The following is a 25,198-nucleotide window of genomic DNA, read 5'->3' as shown; positions in this document are numbered from 1 at the left end:
GTTCAGCCCTTTGGGTCAGCTCTAACTGGTCTCTCAGAATAAATGCGCTTTAGGGCTGCCAGGCCTGGTGGTGCTACTGGCAGCGGCATCTGAGGCTCTCTAGGAGAGGAGCTTGCTCCTGGACATGAATTCATTCTCTGCCAGGTACAGAAAGCAAACAGGGAGGTAAACAAACACAAAAGGACTTGATTTGTTCCAGCACAGTGCAGGGTGACGGAATGACTGTGTATGTTGTGTGTGCCACTGTGCCTCTCTTCCTGCCTTCAAAGGCTCTAAGTTCATGTGCATGCCCTTCCATTTTATCAGTATTAAAAATGACATGACAACCAACGAGGTCTGGTTGCAGAAGCTGTAAGTAAGCTGTCACCCTTCTCCAAAACTCCATGGAAATATGGAATATCTAACCATCTCTGAACAAGCTCGAGGTTCTAGATTAATGAACGGCATTAACAAGGCACTGAGGTGAGGAAGTACAACCCTCTTACAATGTCACTGTATACTGTTCAATGGATCCTGAAGAAAAATTAACAGAGGCAATGATAAGAAAGAAAAAAAGGAAATATAACTGGGTTTTAGATGCTAATTTCAAATGGCATAAACATCCTTAGCAATTTTCTCTCCAAGTGTCATAAGGTAATTATTTAGTAATATAAAACAGAAAAGCTATGAAAAATTGATCAGGCAGATAATGGGTTCGAAACATATAGGCACCATGTCTCCCTATTTAATATGAGAATGTTTACCTGCCCATGAAACGAATACAGGGTAAGTCACTGTCTTCAGTGATGCTCAGACACAAAATCTATAAACCTCTTAGTACTCTAACTTTGCCTTGCACAAAGAGAACTTTTTTCTTGATAAAAAGATCCTACTTCATGAATATGATAGAGCAAAGCCAAAAAGCAACAAAACAGCTCACCATATTTTAGTGAAAACAATGCATTTCTAATTAAAACTCTTTTACTACAACCTTTTGCTATGATATCCTTGAAACCTACCAAGAACTCTAGATTTGAACAGATGAAAAATCAATAAAAAGCAGATCAACAATGCTGAGGTATTGAATTGGACCTACATGTTCTGTTTGAATCTCCGACTCATAAAACAGTATTACAAAACAAGCATGTACCACTCAGCAGGAAACTCGACAATCTAATCATCTCCCCCTATTCTGAGGCCAGCCAATTTATAATATGTTCTGGAGGTTACTCTTCTTGCACTTGAAACAGCAGCATTCATATCTGCCAAAATGTAGCACAAAATATTGTGTGTCAACTAAAATAAAAAACTAATAAGGAATTTTGGTTTTTAAAGCACAACCACTTTAATTACAATTATATTTGCTAAATATTACAATACAAGTTTACATTCTTTTAAAGTGGAGGCATATATGCTACATCTTAGCCTAGCTTTTGCTGATGTATTTCCTTTCTCCATTATGGGAATGGATGGTTCTTATTGCATAACTTTTTTGCTGTTTTTTTAAAATATCAAATATACAACATTTTCTATATTGACACAGTCTCTGCCTTCAATGAAACCAATCTCAGCCACAGGATTGTATCAAAATCCCTTCTGATACAGGCATATTCCTATATTTAGTACTGTAGTTATTGTTTACCATGTGCTAGTGTGAAGTCTGATGTCATGGAAACAAAATCCCTATATTATATTGACTTTCCTTCGGAGTCAATCCGAAAGAGTAGAAATTGTACACAGATTATTTGTGTTCGGTCTGTCAATTTACTAAATTCAATTCCACTAAAAATAAAATAAATAAAATGTAATTCCAGTCCACTTCTGTAATGCACATCAGATAACTATCAAAGAAAAAAAACCAAAACCCTCACTGTCTCTAAGTATCACTGGTGTACTCAAAGCTAAATTTAGCAGTTTTGTCACCTTCAAAGCGAGTTAAGGGCTTACTGCTATAGCATTCAGGGAGAATGGGTACAATTTTGAGCTTGCCTGCTTTGTCATGTGAGCATCTTTAAAAACAACAGTAAAATCACTGCCCACGTTCACACTTCCTGCACATGCTGGTGTTTTACACTTTCATACGGCACCTCAATATGGAAAACACTCCTTCAATAGATATAGTATCAATGGGTGAGAATGTAAACTAAAACTAAAGCGCATTTCTCCAGTTCTGCCAGCTCTGTGCACACCCAGAACTGTGCCAGCGAGACGGCAGGGAAGCTCTCCACCCAGCTTTCCAGCTCAGGCTAACATCCAACTCATAGGCATAACAGGGAACAAATATTCCCATCATAGGACAGACAGTCCTGTTCAGTAAAACCCCAAAACACTCTGAGCCAGCTCTAGGAATATGATGAACTCATTCAGGGAAATGTTATTGTTTAATGTATTCTAACAGAAAAGAAAAATATCACCTTTTTAAGGTATGTGTTCATTTTGGGTTCCTAAAATGAGATTTTGGGGAGCTTCCTGGGAAACAGATAGGCTCGCTCTCAGACTACTCTGATAGAACTAGTGCAGAACTGAAGACTTGGAGTCTGTGCACGGGGCTGCGTAAAAGCACTTGCATGCTTTCCATTGTACATAAAACTCAAAAGAGTTGCCAGCCCCGTTAAGACTCTTGGTGGCCCATCTCTTTCTCCAAATTATCTCGTGCCACCTTCCTGCTTGTTCACTAAACTGTAGTCACACTTACTTCCCTTCCATTTCCTAAAACCTCTAGCATCTCTTCACCTTTAGACTATTACTGATGCTGTTTTCTGTCTTAGAATCCACTTTCTCCACTCCAATGCCTTCTTACCTCCTTCAGAGCTCTATCTAAATGTTCTTTTCCCAGAGAAGTGACACCACCTCATCTAAACACATTTTCCCTTTTGAGCCTATCCCAGCCCCTTACCTGCTCTGCCTCCTTTCATAACTCCTGTACCACCTTACAGGGCCTCATATACAGTGAATGTTTAATCCATTTCTATTGAGTTAAATTCATCCATTCAACAAATATACACTTGTAGACATGGAAGATCCTTCAATTCGAAAGACAGATATAAGTGTATCAGAAATAATTATTCAGTAACTCCATGGTTAACTCATGAGCCTCACTTTGGAGCCCAAAATATTTAAAAATAACACGTACTTGGTTCTTTTAGTAGCACAGCAAAAAGAAGTAGACAAGCTCCCACCCTTGGTTTTACAGGAAATTTCAAATGGAAAATTACGTAGAACTCACATTTTCCACGAAAAGCTTACTTTGCTGGCTGTATGATAGAACCTAGATGTTCCTTGCTTATGGGTAAGCTGTTTTTCTAAATAAGTTGAAGAGGTGACTATGAAAGAAGCATAATTCAATAACTGGATACATTGGAGGAAATTCTCAGTACACTCATATTGTAAGCCTTTTTAAAAATGACTATAATTTGCTCTAGCAAAGATATTTAAATATTTCCCTCTAGCCTATTGTAAATCTCATTTCTAATCTCCAAGCTCCTGTAATCAAGTCCTCGATAGTTTAAATAAAGCCTCCATTTGGGATTAAACTGATATTGATATACACACTTATTTCTGATTTTATGTGATATATGGGCGAGTTTGCCTGAAATGCTTATCAAATAATCATAATTAAAATGTATAATTTCAGAAAGATGATCCACTAATTTTAACTATTATGTCTGGGACTTGGTTAAGAGAATGAAGAAATATGAAACAAAAATTTAAGTGGGCAATTACATTACAAAATAATATCTGCTATGCATGTTAAGGAAGAAATAAGCATCTTTATTTTTGAAGATAAAGCAAATTTGTTTTTTAGTTTCCCTGGCCAAGAAGTCTGAAAAACTCTGCTGTTATAAAGAAATGGAAGCTTCTCTTCTTTCCTCACATGTAAGAAATACGTACCAATTATTTTAGACTCTTCCTAGGCAATATTGGGGAGAGTTTGACTTTTCTTCACCTCGTCAAATTTAACCACTGGAATAAACACCTCAAAACTGATTCTTCTGAGAGCATAAACAAACCAAGCATGAAGGCTCCCAATAGGAGGCCAAGGCGGCTTGAAAATTGCTGAACAGGATCAGGAAAGTGATATTCTCTGTCTCTATTCATTTTAGTGAAATGTCTACTGAGTTTGGTCTGGATTGATGAGGTAACTAATAGTTTAAAGGTTAGGTGAAGAAAAATTACATTCTAAAAGCAGGAGTCCCCAGGCCTGCCTGAGGAGGGGCCAAGTCTGTCAGGAATCTGCCGGGCCCCTCAGCATGCTGGGTCACAGGTGTTGGGTTGTTAGAATGTACTCTGACCGAGCTGACTAGCCAACTTAAATATCTAGTCAAGCAAGACTGCTTGAGAGCTTCTTCTCAACTGAAAACTTGGGAGACAATTATCTTCCCTTCATGTATAACAGGGGTTATAGCTAACAGGAGTTTAGTGCATCTACAGCCTAGAGTTGCAATAAAACTTAGCCACTGTCCTTCCCCTGTTAGCCCAGGGTTGCTTCTGGTAAGATAAGTGATTTGAGTAGTTAAGTAAACACAGAGAGCTTTTATGTTAATTTAGTAACATAGTCTATTCTGTGAACCTTAGTGGTTGCTGAAAAAAGAAGGCATGCTCAGGGCTGAGAAAAGCTGAAGGAAAATCAAGACAGATGAGGACGCCGGGAGAAAGAAACAATTTATACAGCAGAAATTTGGGGACAGGTGGAAAATGTTATCACAATTGGCCGCCGTTAGACTATCTATTTCTCTCTATGACTTGTGTTGGTACCAGAACAGCAGCCAGTCCATACATGACTTTGTGAGAATTAAAAAAAAAAAAAATGCATTCCTTCCATGGGTAAAAGATGTTTACATTAGTATAACAGTGCAGGACTTGGACAACCATACAGTGAGGCCTGGTTATTCTGCCTGGGTTGCTTTCCAGAGCTTACAGGAGGCTGCCTGCACCAATGAACCTGCCCCCACTCCCCCTGCTCACATCCACATCCAGAACCTGGGGAGTGCAGGCGGCCACTCACATTCATATACTATGACCCCCTAGAGGTGGCATCCTTGTTCACTACGCAACCTGAGCACTCACATGAGGCCACCCTCCTTGGGGCAGAGAGAGAAGGTGAAAAAAAAAATGCAAATTCAAATGCACTTTATGAATGTGGGTAAGTTCTAACGTGGGGAGAGAAGAAACCAAGGAGATCTTGTGAAAAAAATTCAAATTTAAAAATGAATGGTTTTTTGGCTGACATTCTGTAGTTTTCCATTTTTGTGAGACAAAATATATAGTACGTAGAAAACTGAGCATTTTTAATGTTCAAGAGTACTGTCTTTTAAAATATGTTGATTAGGAGAAAAGAGGACACGCTTCACTTCCAAATGTTAATGTAAAGCATGAGAAATGAAATTCTTCTCTATGAAGGTGGGGTAGTCGGGGGACCTCTAAATCCAGAGGTCTGCATTTTGCTGAGATTATCTAGATCCAAAGTTTCCAGAAGTTGACTTAAGGCCATGAATACTGGTGGCTATGTTTGTGATGGGATGGGTACCGAGCAATCTTCCTGGTGATTACTCAAGTGTGGAGCATAAATTATTACCCCAGGCAAGCACCGACTTAAATGAAGTAGTTTTCTGAAAGTAGAATGTGATTAAACCATGCATTTCATTCAAAACACCTCCTGTTTAGCCAATCTCTGTTGCTCCTGGTGTCTCATCTTCGGGAAGATGGATTCTTGGTGATAATTTGGGATGCGGCAGACTTTTACACAAAGATGAGGCTAAGCACACGAGGAATCCATAAGAGATTCTTATCACAGACTCAGAAAGGAGAAACCGTCTATACATGAGAAAGCTAGCATGAGTCTTGGGATTTTATTTTCTAGTTTTGTGTTTATACCTACCTACCTCTCCAAAGGTACTATTTACTGGCCCTGTCCATGAATCAGTTCTATTTACCAAAAGCAGGAAGTTCCATCCACATATTAAAAGATTCTTTCCTTTTAATAAAAGCAACTGAAGTGCCCGATGAGCTGGGTTTCCTCCCTCTGTGATGCGTCAGGGGAACAAGAAAATGAAATCTGTGAAGGGTCTGGGTGTCAGGTGAAGCGTGGTTGCAATTCCCCTCACCTTGATTTGTGTCTTGCCCCACAGCTTTAAAGTCCCTGGACTTTATTTCTCTCAGTGACATGCATGTGCCAGGCTGGCCGATCAGTAGAGATCTCTGGCACGAGAATCTTTTCCTCACACTGAACTGTTTTACTAACACTGCACCTTTCTTTTGACAGTGGCTTATGGACCAGGTATTTTAACTCAGGGGATACTTGAATGTGATCTGTGTGACTACTTTGAAATCCACATCTCTCTAAGCATGTACTATTTATCTCCTCACACACATTCACAAATGTGGGGGATTCGGTGTGAGGAACCACTATGCCTGTGTTATTATTCTGACAGTCCTTTCTGGGTATTTTTATCTCTGAGTCAAGCATTTGGCCGTTACTGAGTGCTTCCTGTCAACAGGTCAAGCCCTGTAAAACACACTACGGGAAGAAGGTACAGTGTTAGTACCTCCTCCCTGTCATGAAGTAATGCTCCGAAGGAAGACAAATATAGATCAACTTAATGCTCAGTAAATATTTAGCAGATAATAATGCAGTCTCCGGGGCTAGAAAGACAAGGGCCCACCCTCATAGTGCTTCCTACATAGTTCCTCAGCTCCTCCTCCAGACCTTTCACGAGGTGTTCCCTGACCATCCTATTCACAACTACAACCCTGCCGTCCATGATAATCCCCATATTGCCTTATTTTCCTCCCTAGAATCTATTGCCTTCAAACATACCATAGGATCCTTTTATTTATTTGAATTTCTAACATCCCTTATCAAAAATATAAATTTCATGAAGGCAGCACTTTTTGCCTGTTGTGTTCACTGCTGTACTCCTAGTGCCTAGAAACAGTACCTGGCATACAGTAGGTGCTTAATAAATATTTGCTAAATGAATATATAGCATGGAATTGCATAGTGGAATTTGGAAAAATGTATAAAGTTACAAAACCAGGAAGCCTTTCTAAAAGGCTGTTTTAGGGGGAAAGGCAGTATTTCTGCTGGAAATATCTGCAAAGCTGTTGAGGTCCAGAAAAAAGGTCAGCCGTAGGCTGACTTTGGGTGGAGAAAAGGAGCATATTTCAACGGAGGGGAAAGCTGTTCGAGGGAGGTGCTTGGGTCATGCAGTAGCCTGATGACAGAAAAGCATGTGAGGTGACAACTAGTTTCCATTAGCAGTCTCATAATCCTGTAGTCACTTTTCTAATGGAGAAGCTACTTAAGCCCCTATGACATGACAGTTCACCTGAAACCATGATCCCTCATCGTTTACCATTAGGTAACTGTCTGCTGTGTGAAGGGCATTTTGTGTGCTGTGCATGAACCATTCTGACTTAGCTTTTAGAGCTGAATGAAAACCCAGGTCCAAGTTTATTTCACTGGTTTCTCTACATGCAGTGGGAGAGATCAGACGCATTTCGTGGTTCTCTTGCTCCGGATAGATAATAAAGGTATAACTGTGGAAATGTATAGTCCTAGTGAAACGCTATCCTTGGTTTTCTGTTCAAACAGAACAAAACAAAACCCACGGGTGGAGACAAGCAGCCCAACACTGATTTAGGTTACTACTGTCTGTCCTAGCAAGATAAACTGCCCTGTGGAACTGACCACCAGGACACAGAGCTGAGCCACTCAAAGATGGGAGTCATTTTTCTGTTCACTTGTTTCTAAGTTACGCTGAAGTTTCATAGTACTTGCACACTTGAATGTTCTATTTTAGCCTGAATTGGCTATCAGCTCACCAGCTTTTCATTGTTACCACATTAAAGGGAGACTGCATACGTAGTCAACTAACATGGGACAAATTTCTCTTTCTCGGGTCTTCCTTTGCTTTCCCCACCTGGATCACAAAACAAACACTGTCATCTAGCATTGTCTTTCTTCTTAACAAATAGTGTTTGGCTCCCTTGTTTTAAAGTGATCTGTATATTCATTAACATGTTTTAATTTACTGACATAATTAGCATATTTAAAAATGTTTATTACCAACACAATTCTTTAGTTCCAACTGAGAAAGAAAGAGAAAAAGTGAAGAGAGAAATTGCAGAAAGGCAGATACGGCACCTCCAAATTGCTGTCTGACAGAGGGAGATCATGAGTGACAAGCAGTGGGGTGAAGGTTGGGCAAAGAAGGACGGGCAGGGAGAGAGGAAGGAAAGAGACCAGACCTCGCTGGTCTCTTCTGCCAGGTGTGGCAGAAGAACAGGGAGGAAGGCAAGAGATCAGAGAGGGAGGCTCTGAGGTGGGTGTTAGGTGAGGAATACTCTGCTCCTCAACTCTCTGAAAATTCGGGTTTTAGAGTATTATGCTTCCCTATTATCCACTCCCCTTCTGAAATGTCATCTCCTATCTCCACCACGTTTCAACTTCTGTAATCTTAAACTCTGTATGGAATCAAAGCACTGGGAAGACATTTTCCTGTGTTCTGTAGTTATAGTGACCAGAAGATTATAATCCCATAGGTTAGAGGAATAAAGCTGAAGTGTATATACGATGGTTTAATCAGAGATTTCCCTAAAAGCCCACTGAATGAAAACATTTAAAAGATAACATACAAGCATTTATAGGGCCATTTACTTATCTAAAGGTTCGAATGTGAACATCTATCTTAAAACATCTCATAATTTGTTTTTCAAAAAAGAATAAAACCTTCTTAATTCTAGAGGAGACTCATTACTCACCTTTGGTGAACTAATTTCCTACTTTTACTTCCAGCCTTTGAAAATATACTTGAAGAACCTTTCGTTTTCTGGGAATAATTTACAACTATCATCATTTGTGAGGTTGCACGGGTATCTTAAAAAAAAAAAAAAAAAACTTGCTTCTGAGTTCATGAATTTTCCACTGCCTGTTTTCAAAAGCAGTCTTCATTTTGTTGTGATAATCTGCATATTCATTATACCTTTCTTACCTACACTGGTATCTTTTATTTTTAAATTTCTTTTCTTGCCTTTTTACATAGCATCTTTTCAATGAACTCATTATGTTTGTTAAAAATATGCCCATGGGGATACAAAACAAACAAACAGCCTTGTCCTCCCCCTCACTTCCCAACCCAAACCACCTCCTATTTTTTTTTATTTTTTTGATTTTTTTATAACTGAAACACACGTCCTGGTGAAATTCTTTTATGCGTTTCTGAATGTGGCCCTTTGATCCTGGTTCTTTGTTTATTTCCTTCACTGTGATATTTTTTCAGAGATTCTTGCTAAGTGCAAATTGGAACAGGAGTTTCAACCTCTTGCATAATGTTGTAAAATAAATAAATAACAGAATTGTATTTAAATAAACTATTCAAATCCATGTCAGTAAATGATCTAATTAATTACTCCTTTGGGGCTGTGTTATATGTTTGCTTTCCTCTTAGAGAGGTGAAGAAAGTGAAAATAAATTTCCAGCTGTTAATGGGGTAAATTCTGTAAATGGATAAGGGTCAAAGACACAAACTCTAATTTGTATCACATTTGTTTTTAGGCACTTAATTTACTCTGTGTCTTTAACCTTATTTGAATGTTCCTTAACAGTTCCTACTTGATTTCACATGAGCAGCACTGATAGACTCCGTTAAACTTGTGAAGATACTTTGTGACGTTTGCAATGAACAGAGACAAGTTACTAAGAAGAAAAATAGATGTTACCCCTTATAATTCAGTGTAGGATGCCAGATTTGAACCAAGTCTGCAGAGATTGGACAAAATCCAATTTGTCATTATTTATTCCTAAGCATTGTGCTTATACTCTGGACTTTTTCATTCTTATTCGCCATTTACCCAATTATATCTATCCTTATTAGACCCCTGCTGAAGGCAGCATTAGCCAGAGAAGTCCCATAGCTTAACTTAATCCTATTATCTCTTGATAAACGGGGACGCATGAGGCTCTAGATGGCCAAATTCAGCATTACTCTCCCTTCTCTCTCTCCCTCCTCTCCTATTCTCCCCCAAAGAAAAATGCTGTTGCTCATCCTTATGCCTGATGTAATTAAGATCTGGAAATATGCCCATTCTAATCCTTACTCAGTATAAGCATCACTGTCAATGCAGAGAAATGAACTGCAGTTATGATGTAAAGGGCTGACACCTCCATGACATTTTACTGATGTGTTGGGCCTCACTGCCACATTGACAAAGTGAGGTTTATGTCTTCAGGGTTTTAAATGCCTGCCAAAAACAGAGCATTGAACTTGCAGGGGAAAGGGTCACAGTGGGGAAGACAACAGGCCATCCTGAGAAGTGAATTTGTAAGGTGTACATTTAGATGTGCACAGGGACAGGTGGGAGAAAGGGAGAGAGAGAGAGGGAGGGAGGGAGGGAGGGAGGAAGGGTGGGGGCGGGGCGGGGAGGGGGAGAGTGGGGGAGAGGGAGAGAGAGAGACAGACGGAGAGAATATGAATTCACTGCCTTGGAAGTTCTTCAGGAATTCTATGGAACAGAAAAATCTTCTGCCTTTTCAGAACTAATCCCAGACTGTAACTTGCCTTATGGAAGATTGCCTAAAGGCCATGATAGCAGCGCATGACTGAATCCTCACTGACTTTCTTTTTGTTCTGTAGTTATAGTTGTATATCTACGTATCAGTAAATCACTCACGCTGTATTAGAGGCAAATAGATAGAACAACTGTCAGTTCTTATTAAAATGCTTCTTAAAATGTATCTTCTAATACTGCATAAAGTTACGAAGTGTTGAGTAGAGAATAAGACCTACTCTATCCCAGCGACATCTCTCAGGCTTTGTGTTGCAATTCCATGATCCTCTCCCTTCTAGTACATATACTACTTATAACATCAAAAGGGCTTCGTGCTTCTTTTCAAAAGGAATTTACTATCCAAAAGGTTGAGTTTGGGAAACGAGCCAACTCAAGCCTCCTGAGAAAAAGGGGAAAACAATCTCATTTATTTAGAAACAAGGATAATTTTGATAATGTTGGAAATGTCTTTCCCATACTTTTTTTTTTAATTCTCTAAGTCATGCAAGGGGTTCTAGAGAGCCTGAAACCCCAAGAAATTCTTCACAAATGGAAAGAAATAAGTGTGTTCAAAAATTGCATCCTGTCAAAAGGACAAACGCATTTCCTTCTGTCCCAGAAAGAGGGAGCTGGCAAAGGAGACAGCCAGAAGGGTTAAGCACAAGAGGAGTTTTGCACAAAATTGGAGATCAAGAAATATTGATTGGCGCTTGCTAAGATGGAGAGACTGACCGAGGAAAAGTGCCCACAGAGTGTCGGTGTTCTTTTGATGCTGCCAACTCCTATAAGAACTTTGCTGTACCCTCTAGGGATCACAAGCTGCACTTTGAAAACATGGCTTTAGAGCTTTTCTTAACAGCACACAAACAGAAATTCCTTTGGGGGTAACTTGTTTTATTTTATTGTCATCTATAACATTTGCATTAATGATGTGACAGAGTGACAAGTGGGTGAAGGGTGGTCTAGATAAGCATCTAGGTGACAGTGACCTCCTGTCTTCACTAGGGACCTCACAGTTTGGGGGTGGGGTAGTAAGGCTAGTCTACACTCTGCTGGTAGAGACTAGTGGTGATGGTACCAGTAATATACATCTAGTGGCAAAGCATATATATTTATTACCCTTGCTAGAGCGAGCTGTAAGTGCAGGCAACATGCATGCATTTAACATTAAAAAGGAAAAGCATACTCTTCATAAACATGCATTTGCTAATCTTAGTTGGCATAATGAAATAGCTGAGGTACCTTAGCACAAAGAAATATTAAAGCGCATTGGTTTAACAATAATGTCGTGCTTTAACTGCACGTTTATTTTCCTTAGCCTTTTATTGCCATAATGACATTGGTTAAGTTAAATAGAAGTCAGCATCATTTGGCCGGAATTGACAACAATTAGGAAAGCTGCCTAGCTGTGATGTTTCTACCTTCCCTGATAACTATGGCCAATGAACAAGTTATTGTGTCTAAGGAACTCCATGGTAGAAGAGACTTTAATGAGATTGGCAGCCAGAGAGTTAAAGGCAAATTCAAGGCCATGAGATTAAGGCTCAGGGTAAAAGGCTTTTCAACCCTGGACCTCAGCCAGGATATCAAAAAAGAAGATAACACAAGTATAATGTTTTCCAATTGCCAGTGTGCCGTTTCCAAATATTTGACTATTCTGTATCAATGTTTAAGTTTTAGTTCATGAGATTACAGGGCTATTCAAGATCATTAATAGTAGTCCCTGTTTTGCCCAAACGCAACTTTCTAAACATACAAAATTCATCAGGCCTGGTAGTGATCCTGCAAAACAGAGTGAATCTAACACAATAGAATTCCAGGTATGATATAAATCAAATTTTACTTCATCTGTCTTCAGGGGTGGGAGACTGGCAGAGTTCTAATCATATACATATTTAAATTTGTAATCAGACTCCTTGGGAGGACAGGCTGTTGTGTTTACCAGGAGCTTATCGCTAAGGCTTCTGGGGACTAAGAATGGTTGGTTGTAAATCCTGTCATTTTGGTGACTTAATATTTTATATTATCATGATATTAGCATAATTGTGACCTCTGCATTGTAGCATTTTATGTGTTTCCAGTGTAACTTTTGATGCTTTACTAAAGTCAACAAAAATTCCCATTATTCCCTCTTTTAGAGCACATTTGGCATGAAGTATTAAGGTTGATTTAATGTTATTAGTGCTTAAAGTGGTGCAAAATCCATGAATATACACATCCATCTCCCAGTTCACCGTAACACTGCCATAAAATGCTAGGAAATGAGTGATAAACATTTCCTCTCCGTTTTTTCTCTTTCCCTAATTTTTCCTGCTGGAGGCTCTGCCTCTACCCAGAGGGCATGCGAGTGTTGCCAGTTCCCCCACACAGATCAATCACTAGGGCTTCCACATGCCCACATAATAGCACAACAGGAGAGCTTGGCTCAGCTGCAAGCCTCATTAAAACTATTCTCAAAGTAACAGCAAGGTTTGGGGAGCACTCTACTTGGACCAGACTCTGCATATTTTCCAAGATAATGACCACAGAAGAAGCATTAGAGGACATAGTTCCTTTTATTTGTGATTTTGGCAAGTTACAAAAAATAGTGAAGCAAAGCTAAGTATTTCAAAGGATGTCCAATGGCAAACTCTTTTTTTGAAATTCTTAGTGAAAAATTATTACTATGGTAAAACTACTGAGGCTTGAAGGGCTGTAAGGGGCAAATGAACTTGGAGAGACTAAGAAGCTCCGATTTTCTGGCTTTTGGATCCGAAGTGTTTAATCAGAACTAGCAGGGAAACCTAAGTCCAGAAGTCACCCCATCATGGGTCCCAAAATATTCCATAGGCTACTTATATGGCTGTGTGTGTGTGCTGTGTGTATGTGTGCTATGAGTGCATGAGTACGTATGTTCTGTGAATGAGCGTGTTGTATGTGACTGTGTGTTTGTGTGTGTGTTGGGCACATGATCACGTTATCTCTGTTCAGAGTTAGGGATGGACGGTGAGAGCAATGTCAACATCAAAACACAGGAGTCCCAAGTTGATTTTTCCCGTAGATCCCTGTATCATATCCTCTTCTGGGTAGCTTCTCTCTTTCCATAGTGAATCTGGGAAGATATTCCATTACCACAGCAATCTAATGTGTCCACAGTTTGGAAAGAAGAAACTAAAAGGGTTCTGAGAAAAGCATCCTCTCTTTCCACCCCTACCCCCATCACCAAAAGATGAAAGATGGTAAATAGGATCTATTTTTAAAAGACAAAAGAAGCTGAAATTATTAAATCCAGAAGGCAACAAAAGGCTAAAAAGGGTGAATTTATCATTGCATGTGTGTACACAAAGTATTTTTATAAAAAGGGTGTTGACAAACTCTTTTCCACCTCTAAGGAAGACAGAGCAAGATATTAATATTGTAAGATGAATTATTTAAATAAAAGAAAAAGAGAAAGAAGTCCCTGCCTCTTAAGATTTTAGAAAGAGATACTTTGAAATCATGGGCATTTTACTCCAATTCTATTCTCTGTCAAACACTGTCATTTCCAAGTGGTTCCCCAAAAGTCTGTGAGGGTGCAAAATGACTAAAGCAATACAAAGAAAGGCACAGCAGGCAAACTACCAATATATGATGCGGTTCCTGTAGCTCTGAAACAAATACCCCACAAGGTAAAGGGGCCAGGTGGAAAAGCCATGAAAATTGCCATGATGAGAATCCTTAAATAATGAAGTTCCAGTATTTGCTCATTCCCCACATTTTATATTGATGAAACAGAAACAACTGTCCCAAAGTGGGATGGATTTGGAATGAGAAAATGAATAAAAAAATACTCATAAATGTTTAAATTGGGGAATACTAAATTGACAATAGAGGGGTGTATTTTTTCCATTAAGTAGTGTTCAAGTATGATCAAAGTTGTGTAGAAATACCGACATTCAGAGAGGGAAGATTAATATTTATTTGCTTCCACTTCTTATTCTAATGATAACTCTCTACTTAATTGGCCTAGTTAATTTATGAAATCAAATCTAGATCAGTGAAATTGACAAGTAGTCATTGAGGAAAGGATATTACAGTTTAAAAGCATGAAGGATAGCAGTATAAATGATATATGCTATGCTATTAAGCAAGTCACTATAAAGTAAATTACAATGAGCATAGAGGGAATGCATTTTACTGTGTCAAAAACATATTTTTATGCAATGTTCAAACTTTATGTTGAATGGTCAATCTTGACAACAAGATTTCTCTTTCTGACAGCTCATATCTATATTTGGATAAAAACCAACAACGTATTAGAAAGGAAGTAAACTGTACATGGGATATAGCGCTAAGGAAAAACCATCGTTATGTTTGCAAGTCTGTGCCTTTTAGGGAGTCTGTAAGGCACGTCTTATTCTTCACCAGGGAAAGCGCAGCCATGGCTTACTAGTAAATCACGTAGTTTCTCATCAAACGGGAAGTGAGGCTCTAGTCCCATCTCAAAGTGAGGATAGCTATGGTCCTTCTCTGGAAGGCAGAGAAGCCAGGCCAGGCAGCTGGCAGAATTTATTTCACTCTGGTCCATGCCCCCTCTGGTGGCTGAATGCCAGGGTGAAGTAACACAATGAGAAATTGCTTCCCTCTCAGTGGGAGGTGCATTGTTTTCTCTCCCATTCACAAAGGCCCACAGCATTTCCTCAGGCAATTCAGTTTACCTTTAACCCCAACTCTCCAAACCAGAACTAGAAATGCTGTTGTCAAAGAAGACTTCCTCAACAAAACATATAGCAACGGCTTGATGGAAACCAGGAGTGTATAAGGATTTCAGACAGTTCTTGAACTAGTATCTGCTCAAAGATCTGTTTATAAAATTAGGCTTTTTTTTTTTTTTTTTAGATCTTAGTTCTTCCTAGCTCCATGGAAATTTCAGACACATAAAAACTTAAAGTAGGCAAGACTGTGGCATCGATATGCTTTGCACACAGTGAGCACTCAACAGATGTTCTCTAAGTTAAAATGACAAAATCAGACCTATGATTTTTGATGTAAAGAAAAATGCATCAAATTTGTTTTATTCTAATTCTTTTTTAATGTGCATTATTAACTGCATCAATAAGCATGTCAAGTATCCAAACACAACAAAAGGGGAAAATCTTTTATATATTCCATGCCATTATTCTTAAAACTTTCGTGATTAAGATCTATTAACTACAAACATTCTCCAGAATTCAATCTGAGGCCTTCTCTTTTCGTTTTATTTATTCAGAGCTTATCACATTAGATCAAAACTTCTATGTTGATGACTCGATATGTCCTGAACTGATTTTATGTTTCCATCTATGTGGCTTGAAAAAAATTCATTAAAGGTTGAGAGGGTAGGAGTGCATGTCAGCTTCGGAATCAATCAAATCTGTGTTCATTTCCCAGCTAACCCACTCACAAATCACATTACCTTGGGTAAACTACTTAATCTCTCTGAGGCTCAGTTTTCTCATCTACAAAATGGGAAAAATAAAACTTCCTCCTTCACTTGTTGACAGTTTAAATGCACTAAAAATGGGTAAGGTACAGTTAGCATAAGACTACTTGAACTTCATAAGTAATCAGTAAAGTTATTTATTTTTATTTTATTATTGACACCACAATTCATCACAGTTACCCAAACCAAAAACCTAGGCATTGTAATTTTTCCCCTTTCTCTTCACCTCTCACGTTACTAAGTTTTGCTAGTTTAACTTCCTAATCATTCTCAAATTTATACCCTTCTCTTTATCCCTCCTTCCCTGTTCTAGGTCATGGTATGAGCTCTCATTCTCTCTCTCTCTACAAGTAACTTTAAGAAGTTAAATTTGTTTGGTCTAATTAAAAAGCAATCTATTTTTATGCAAAAAGAGTATAGAAATATGTAAAATTAAAGGCGATAGTTTCCTGTAATTTTACCTCCTCTCCGTCCACAAAAGACTTTTGACATTTTTCTGTATATTCTCTTCATTTTTCTTCTATGCATAAAGTAACACATATGTTTTGTATGTTTGTATAGGCAGTTTCCTTGATTATTTTTACTAAACATACTGTAGTTATCTTTCCTTGTCAATATAATCCAGATATATTTCTTTATAATGATCATGTAATATTCCATTTCACATATTTATGGTCAAACTTCTACTCAGTTCATTAATTACAGCATAAATTACTTCTACAAACCTCCTAATAGTTTCCTTTCTAACAGTCTTTTCCCCCTCCAATCTATACCCCATGAAGCAAACAGACTAATCGATCCAAAGTTCAAGCTTGACTCTGTAGTGTCACTGCTTAATACCCTGCATTGATCCTCATTGCCCTGGAGAAAGCGAACGTTCCCTATGGGGTGCAGGATCTCAGTGATCTAGACTCTGCCACCTCACCAGCTTCAGACACTACCATTCCCTGCCTTAATCTTTGCTTGTGATTCCTTGAATAGTACCATATGTTTCTGCTTTCTAGAATGCAGGTGTTGACCAACTTTTTGTAATGGGCCATGTAGTACATATTTGAGGCTTTGTGGATCATATGCCTTCATCACATCTACTTAACTTTGCAATTGTAGTGCTAAAGCAGCCACAGACAACACTGAAATAAATATTGCTGTGGTTCCCATAAAACTTTCTTTACAAAAAAATCAGGCAGCAAGCTAAACTGCATAATTTGACAACTTTGTTTCTAGACAATTTTTCAGTTCAGGTGACACTCCTTCCAGAAAACTTTCTCTCTATTTCCAGTTCTAACTCTCTTCCCATTACACTCAATGCAAGAAGAACACATTGCCTTCTAAAACTGTCGATGTATGTGTTTGGTTTTCTCAGCAGATTATTAACTCCTTGAGGGCAGGACTATGCTTTCTGCCCATCTTTGTGTCTCTAGTACTTACATGCATGACACTTAGTAAGTACTCAATAAATATTCAGTAGATGAATGAATAAATCTCTGGAAAATTATTTTTTAATTATTACTTTGTTCTCTCTAGAAAACATTCCAATTAGGTGATCCGCATTCTCTGAAAGCTAATTAAATTCATCAACTTCTTTCCTCCAGCATCTTTTAACTAGGACTTGCATGTGAATCATGTGGAGGGCTTAAAACACGGGCAGTACTGGGTCTGCTGACAGAGGATTTAGACTCAGGAGGTCTGAGTGAGGCCTTGCATTTATATGTTTTAAATGCCTATTAGGTGAAGATTCTGATGCACGTTCCAGTCATGATACTGATAGAATGCTAGCGTCTCTGCCAATTTCCCAGTTTCCATCAGCCAACCTCCCGGTTCTCCTTGACAATGTGGTATTCTCAGGCCAGGCCTACTCTGCAAAATCTCTCTTTTACTCTGCGAAATCACTATCTTACCCTCATATTTTTATTCTTGACCACAAACACTCTGCAAAGCTCAAGCAAACATGCTTACAGTTCCCCCCGCAGGAAATTTCCGTTTAGATCCACTACTGTTTGATTGGGTTTCGGCTGTTTTTGCTTTTTAAATGGTTTCCATCCGCATTCTATCTCTAGGTTTTCTTATAAGCCTTTTCAAATCCTTTTGGAAAGTAAAATAATATAATCATATCAATAATAAATGTCTTTTTTTTTCTGCTTTGCACACATTTTTTGACTTCTAATCCACCCTCCACCCCACCCCATATACACGCATAGCAAAACCTGCTTTCACACAGGTTTCTCTGAATAAAAGGCAACTTCATCCAGCCACTGAGGACAAAAACACTGGAGTCATCCTTGCCAGTCCTATGGGCTTGACATTCATTTATACAGAATGTGATCATTTCTCACTAACCTCCACTGCTATCAGCTGATTCAAGTAACTACTGTCTCTAGCCTAGAAGATTGTAATACCTTCCTAGTCTTCCAACTTCCAGCCTATTCTCAACAGTCTGTTAGAAAAATGACAGTTAGAGGTGATTCTTTTTGTTTGTTTTTTAAAAACAGCTTTATTGAGATATAATTCACATTAAAGGTATTGTTGTAAAGCCTAAGTCAAATCTTGTCACTCCTTAGCTCAAACCCATCCCACATGGTTTCCCCAAATTACTCAAAATAAAGACAAAACTCCTTACAAAAAGTCTTCAAGGCCCCCTACATCCTGCAAAACCCTCTTACCTCTCCAACCTAATCTCTTCCTCTGGCACATGCCCCTCCAGCCACACTGCATTGCCTGGACAGCTCTTCTCCCAGTTATCTACATAACCTCAGCCCCCTCCCTTCCTCAGGTCTCTATTAAAATGTCACTTTCACAGTGAGACCTTCCTGGATCAACAATTTGTAACTGCAGTCACCTCCAGCACTTCCTATTCCCCTTTTAATCATTTGACATACATATAGTTTACTTGCTTGTTCTCTCCTCCAGCTAGAATACAAGCTCCATGAGGGCAGAGAGGGAGACAGTGACAGATCATCAGCCATTAGATTCTAATAAGGAGTGTGCAACCTAGATCCCTCACATGTGTAGTTCACAATAGAGTTTATGCTTCTGTGAGAATCCAATGCCACTGATCTGACAGGAGCTGGAGCTCAGGCAGTAATGCGAGTGATAGGGAGCGGCTGTAAATACAGATGAAGCTTCTCTCGCTCGCCGCTTGCCTGCTGCTCACCTCCTGTTGTGCAGCCCAGTTCCTAATGGGTCACGGACCAGTACCGGGGGTTGGGGACTCCAGTTTTAACCTTATTCAAACTTTCTACTGGTAATTTCCCCCTTTATTAGATAAAAATAATCATTTTACAACTTAATTTCTACCTACCTCGTTGATTTCTTTTAAGGACGGTGATATCAACTACTCTGGTTTTGCATTTATATAATATGGTATCATAAACATTTAGACTTGAAAGTAATCTTAGAAACTTATCTAGTCCATCTCCTTCATGTTCCACATCCGGGGGCAATAATGGGTAAAAGAGCCAGGGCAAAAATCGCTGTCTCCCGACTCCCACTCCAATGCTGACTCCTGGGTACCACACTGATCCATCAGTGACATCCTCAGCATAAGCACAGTCATGTGCTTTCTGCCTGCCATGGCCTAAGATAAGGGAAACCTTGCTTTCAATCTATTGGTCAGAAAGTTTGGTGTAACTGAAAATCATATGGTTGGCAAAAAGCGGTGAATAAGGAGTAAGGTCATGAGATTACTGCCCCAGCTTCTCCAGCTAGCGTGACTTGCCTCTCAGGTCCCAATTTGAAAAATGGAGATAACAATGATTCTATCCAGACGACAGACTTTCTATGAGCATCAGATGTGATACTGGATGGGAAAGCATTTTGGAATGCACAGAGCACTGTACAAGCATCAGTTTTGTTATTAACTCAGAAGAGCTACCTAATATGCGCAGAGCTCTCGTGAAAGAGACTGGAGGACAGCGTATAACTGGCTACGTGCAATTCTATCACACAAAGGGAGAAACTGCTCAAAGCCATGAGGTAGATTGTAGATTGTTGGTATCCACTTCATAAAGAGAACATTCTTTTTTTTTTTTTTTAAATATGCTCTACAAATCCCGCATCAGCTTGTGAGTTTCTCAAGGTTGAGGTCCATTTTGTTCTCAGGCCGGATGCTCAGTAAATAGAATATCTCTGAAATGGTCACCATCTTTCTTAAAGTGTGTCTAGTTAACTTCAGTTGGATTCCATAGGGAAGGAACTTCATAAAAGTTCACTTCTATTGTTCTCATATTAAATAATGAAAAAATCCAACATGGCTCTTTGATAGAAAATAGAATGTTAACATCTGGTATAAGATCCTTTGGCAACTGTTAAAGATGTGATCAGCCTAAATGAACCACCTTACATATGTTTAGGGAATTCCCACCTCTAAAGAATTTTCCTATGAAGTAGGAACAAGGCTAGAATTAACTTTAGAAGGTTTCCTCCCCTATTCCTTGGTTATTTCTATCTGATGTGAGATTTGGTTTCCAGCAAAACTTGATTCTTTGGACAGTTATTTCAGTTAAGCCTATGGTTCAATACGGACCCTATTATTATAGTAAAGGGATTTGTTCATGCAAGACACTTCTTTATACTGATGGTCCTAAATGCTTAAGAAAATATGAACTCTGGAAGATTGTGTTTTCCAAAACTGGCGGAACCAATTTATGCATCCCCCATGCTCTTCTTACAAAGTGATGTTGACAGTCCTTCATCAAGCAGTAGGATCTATGTTCCCTTTCCTTGAAACTGGGCACAACTTTGTGTCAGCCATTTCCAATAAAATATGTTGTAAGTGACATTATATGACTTCTGAGGTAGGTTACTGCACCTGGCTTTCTTTGTCTTAGGACCTTGACTCTTGGAAGTTAGCCACCATGCTGTGAGGAGGCCAAATAGTCACGTGGAGAGACCACAGGTAGGTGTTCCAGTCAAAGTCCTAGATGAGATCTCAGCTGATAGGCAGGGTCAATCAGCAGAAATATGTTGGAGTGTGGCTGCAGACTATTCCAAACCCAAGCCCTTGAGCTGGCCCCCTGATGCCAAGTGAAGCTGAGAAAACCTACCCAGGCCAAACACTACCCAAACTGCAGATTTAAAAGTCAAATAAACGGTGTCATTAATTCAGCCCTATAAGTTTAAAGGTAATTTTTTTTAATGCAGCAACAGATAATCATAACATACATCTTCCTACTTTCACACGTGCATTTCCATTGTTCTGTTTACCAGAATGTGGCCTGCTTACCAAACAGTCAAATTAAGAAGAGAGTGTTCAGAACAGGAATGAAAATACTGCACCGAGGGTTATCAACAGCCTGTCTTAAAAATTCTCAGCCTAGGTAACTGGCGGGATCCATGCTATAAAGAAGAACATTTTTTCCTTATCCTAGAATAACTAGTTCCCATTAACACACTTTAAGGACTGAGGTCAGGAAGCCATGAGGTCTTGGTATTTGCTGTAAATATATATTCACAACATTAAGGCTGATTTCTAATATTGACATACTAGTTGTGAGGTCCTAAGTAAGTTATATACCTTTTTGTGTCTCACTTTCTTACCTCTAAAATGGATATAATTATACCTGCCTCATAGAGTTGCCACAAGAGTTTAATGAGTGAATATTTATAAACCACTCTATGACTAGCACATAGAACATATACATACACACACACTCTTTTTTTTTTTTTTTAAAGAAAACTTCCTCTTTATTGATCATGGCTGTGGATAGGAAGGCATTTGCTGAATCACCTTTATCCTGTATGGATTATAATTCTCAAACAAGACTATTTTTTAAAGGTTTAAACATGTATTTGTTTTGTCCTCATCCCTTGACTAAGGGCAAAGTTTGAAAGGGACTGATGCTTCCCAAAACAGAATTTCAGAAAATGTCTTTAATTACTAAAGGATAACATCAGTAATAAAGATGGATGGAAATACTGTACTATGCTTCTCTTGGAATGTTCTGACCAAATTACAAGAACTGTAGGAGATACCGAGTTTTGTTGCTTGATTATCAAATCCTAGGTAACACCCCTGTAGATTCGGTCTTTTGGATTCCAACCGGGTCTTAACTGTAGCTCAGAATTTAACAAGAATGAAGTTTTACTAGAATGCATTCAATACAAGGCAAGACTCCCTTTAAAGAATTGTGTGACAGTATATATTTTACTCCAATTCCTGCTGTATAAAAAGTGTACTGCTAAATCAATGCTTGATGAGGCTGATAATGTTGATACAGATTTAATATCATGGGGAGAATAAGGGAAAAAATGAACGATGACCACTCTTGTAATAAGGCAAGACCTTGTACTTTTAACAATACTTTGTGAAAATGCTCTCAGAATTGGGTCCATCCAGAAAGAGTATGAGTTAAACCTGCTGAGAAGCAGTTTTCTGAATCTCTGGAATTAGTGCCTTCATTAATATTTAAAAAATAATTCTCTGAGATTGATTCTTATAGAGAAGCATCCACAAGGCAGGTCCACATTTTTAGAGGAAAAAAAGAGACCCTCCAAAGAATAAATGTATTTCTTATTAGTTATTTCCACATTGGCTTTTAAAACAGAAGACAGAACTTTTTGCAAGAAAGGACCAAGTGGCCACACCTTAAGGGTTTCTGTTAACACATGGAGCTTGGCCTTCATATTTTCTACAGATCGTTATGCAGTTATAAGTTTACATACTCATGTATTTATTAATTCAGCTTTTCTGCCTTCCATGAATAAATTATGCTTAGCTAATTTCCATACGAGCCTGGTGGCCTTCCCTAGGGCTTTAAATCAGAGAGTCTGGTGAAATTTTATGTACATTCAACAGCAGTTTATAGATACATTCAAAAGCATTTGACGTCACCATTCAACTGCTTACAATTCTGCTGGGAGGAAACGATTGCATTTGCATGCCTGGATGGGTCACACTTGTACTCTTGGGGGGCATGATGACCCTATTAGATGGTGTGTCTACTGCTGTTAGGATCACTGTTCCCACAGTTCTAGTTTAAGGGTTTTGCTCAATTCAAGACTGAAATAATTAAGATGTTTGGGGCTCGCGCTATCCATCTCTGGTCTAGTTCAAGTCTCTTCTGACGTGCGTGTTGCAAGCATGATGATTTATCACACCATCTCTTGTTCTCTGGGGAAAAACTCAGAGACAACAATGGCAACTTTGAGAGATTTTGACTTTTGCTGAACACAGAAAATCATTAGTTTTAAATCTAAAGGGTCCTTATTGATTCTGAGGCCTCCGAGCCCTGCCGCACATGCTCCACATTGCTTAGGTTAGCTAAGTCACCGCTGCAGCATACAAAGGGCACTGCCGCTTTGCCTAGACGAGGCCAAAATAGCCGGGGGAGGGACAATTCCAGTCACATTTCCAGGTAGTTAGCTCTCCCAAATACAAAGCAGCTACATTCTGGAAACAGATGCGTTCATGTTTCTCTTTTCTTTCAGCTGTTTCAAGCTGACTTTTAGAACTTCATGTCTAAAGTGAGCTCTACAATAGCTCAAGTTAAAAAATGAATCACATGATTTCCTCCTCCAGTGTATAGTAGTTTAACCTGTAAATGACTATCAGCAAGACCTCAACTTTAATTACAACTAGATTGTTTTCCATCTACTTCCCCCAAAGAGAGAGAGAAAGCTCTTTTATCAGCTTACACACTATTATAGCAAGATCTTCTGCACATAAAGCATAAACAGTAAAAGCCTTATGTGACCTGGCACATGTGTTGAGTCCAAATACAGAATCTGGGCATCAAAATCCCTAAGCCTTTTCTTCCTTCAATTCACTTTAGGAAATCTGGCTGCTGAGGGCATGCACACAGGCGGGCTTGAGCACATCCCCAGTGAGCAGCGCAAAGTCACAGTCACTCACGCGGTTCTGGTTTTGAGGGGGTAATTCCAACCAAGTAACAACTTTATGAACACTAACATTATACCCACTCACAGACAGATTTAGTAAAACACAACCAATGAATAAGAACTTCCCTTAATAAATATATTAGACATGAAACTTTTAGCCTAACCTTTCTTTTATTACCTCCTTCAAGGAGTGATATGGTTTGGATCTGTGTCCTCACCAAATCTCATGTCTGATTGTAATCCCCAGTGTCGGAGGTGGGGCCTGTAGGAGGTGACTGGATCATGGGGTGGAGTTCTCATGAATGGTTTAGCAGCATCTCCCTTGGTAGTGTATAGTGAGTGAGTTCTTGGAAGATCTGGTTGTTTAAAAGTGTGTGGCACCTCCTCCACCTCCCTCTCTTCCTCCTGCTCCCATCATGTGAGACGCCTCTCTCCCTCTTTGCCTTCCACCACGATTGTAAATTTCCTGAGGCCTCCCCAGGAGCAGAAGCTACTATGCTTTCTGTATGGCCTGTAGCACTGTGAGCCAATTAAACCTATTCTCTTTATAAATTACTCGGTCTCAGGTATTTCTTTACAGCAATGTGAGAACTGACTAATACAAGGAGTAAACAAACTCTTCAGTCTTCCCACGTCTTCTCAAAAGGCATACAATTGCTAGATGAACAACGGTGATCTAATGCTGATAGTATTTACTTGATAACCAAACTGGTGATGGCTACTTCCATTATGTGAATATTTGTTAAGAGGTTAAAACAAATCTTGCTAATCATCATCTGCTTTTTCTAGCATCTGTGTTTTTCTATTCTAAACTCTAGAATTTGAGGCTCTTGCTAGGATAGGAAAGACAGGGGTCTCCAGCAGAATGACCCTGGTTTTGCTGCTAAAGGAACCTGGTTTCTAGCCCTGCCTTTACCAGGTTTCACACCCTCAGGTTGGGCCATGGTCCCTCTCTTGCTTCTCTAAACAGCTCCATCCTCTCTCCCACACAGTGTAATACTCCTGGGCAGTGAGTCTCCTTGCACTCCCCAGCATGCTCCCGAAGCTCAAGCGCATGCTCATTGTGCTACTGCGGTTTTGCTCACGCTCCAGCCTGCCTCCCCATCTGCTATGTGTTTTGATTTCATCCATTCTTCCAGAGAAGCTCGATGCTCAACTACCCAGGCTCCTTTCTCAAAACTGTTAATTTGCTTATTGTAGATACTACACAATTTAGCATTTTATTATCTATTATATATCTGTTGGATCTCGTGTGATTCCACAAATGATTTGAGGTGGCTAAACTAAGAACAAATAAAACCGAATAATGATAAAATTAATATATGCCATATATTATACTGAATTAAAGCAAGGGAAAATATAAATAAATTGAATATCAAAGGCATGTTTTGCGAA

General features: G+C 39.1%; 1 protein-coding gene across 19 annotated transcripts in view, besides 2 other annotated features; it reads right to left on the bottom strand.

Annotated features, from left to right (window-relative positions):
* NPAS3 (neuronal PAS domain protein 3) overlaps nt 1-25,198 on the bottom strand; it is an 869,389-nt gene that overhangs the window by 313,242 nt on the left and 530,949 nt on the right. The window lies entirely within an intron of this gene.
* Nucleotides 12,675-13,240: an enhancer, noted in NCBI's record as "NANOG hESC enhancer chr14:33946898-33947463 (GRCh37/hg19 assembly coordinates)". NCBI's record gives its function as "activates a minimal SCP1, AML or CMV promoter by ChIP-STARR-seq in naive H9 embryonic stem cells {active_cell/tissue: H9 hESC(naive)}" and the evidence as "EXISTENCE:reporter gene assay evidence [ECO:0000049][PMID:30033119]".
* Nucleotides 14,806-15,416: an enhancer, noted in NCBI's record as "OCT4-NANOG hESC enhancer chr14:33944722-33945332 (GRCh37/hg19 assembly coordinates)". NCBI's record gives its function as "activates a minimal SCP1, AML or CMV promoter by ChIP-STARR-seq in naive H9 embryonic stem cells {active_cell/tissue: H9 hESC(naive)}" and the evidence as "EXISTENCE:reporter gene assay evidence [ECO:0000049][PMID:30033119]".

Source organism: Homo sapiens, chromosome 14 (assembly GCF_000001405.40).
Source record: "Homo sapiens chromosome 14, GRCh38.p14 Primary Assembly".
Classification (NCBI taxonomy): Eukaryota; Metazoa; Chordata; class Mammalia; order Primates; family Hominidae; genus Homo; species Homo sapiens.
The sequence above is the reverse complement of the archived record's forward strand: the minus strand, read 5'-3'. Positions and strand labels throughout refer to the sequence as shown.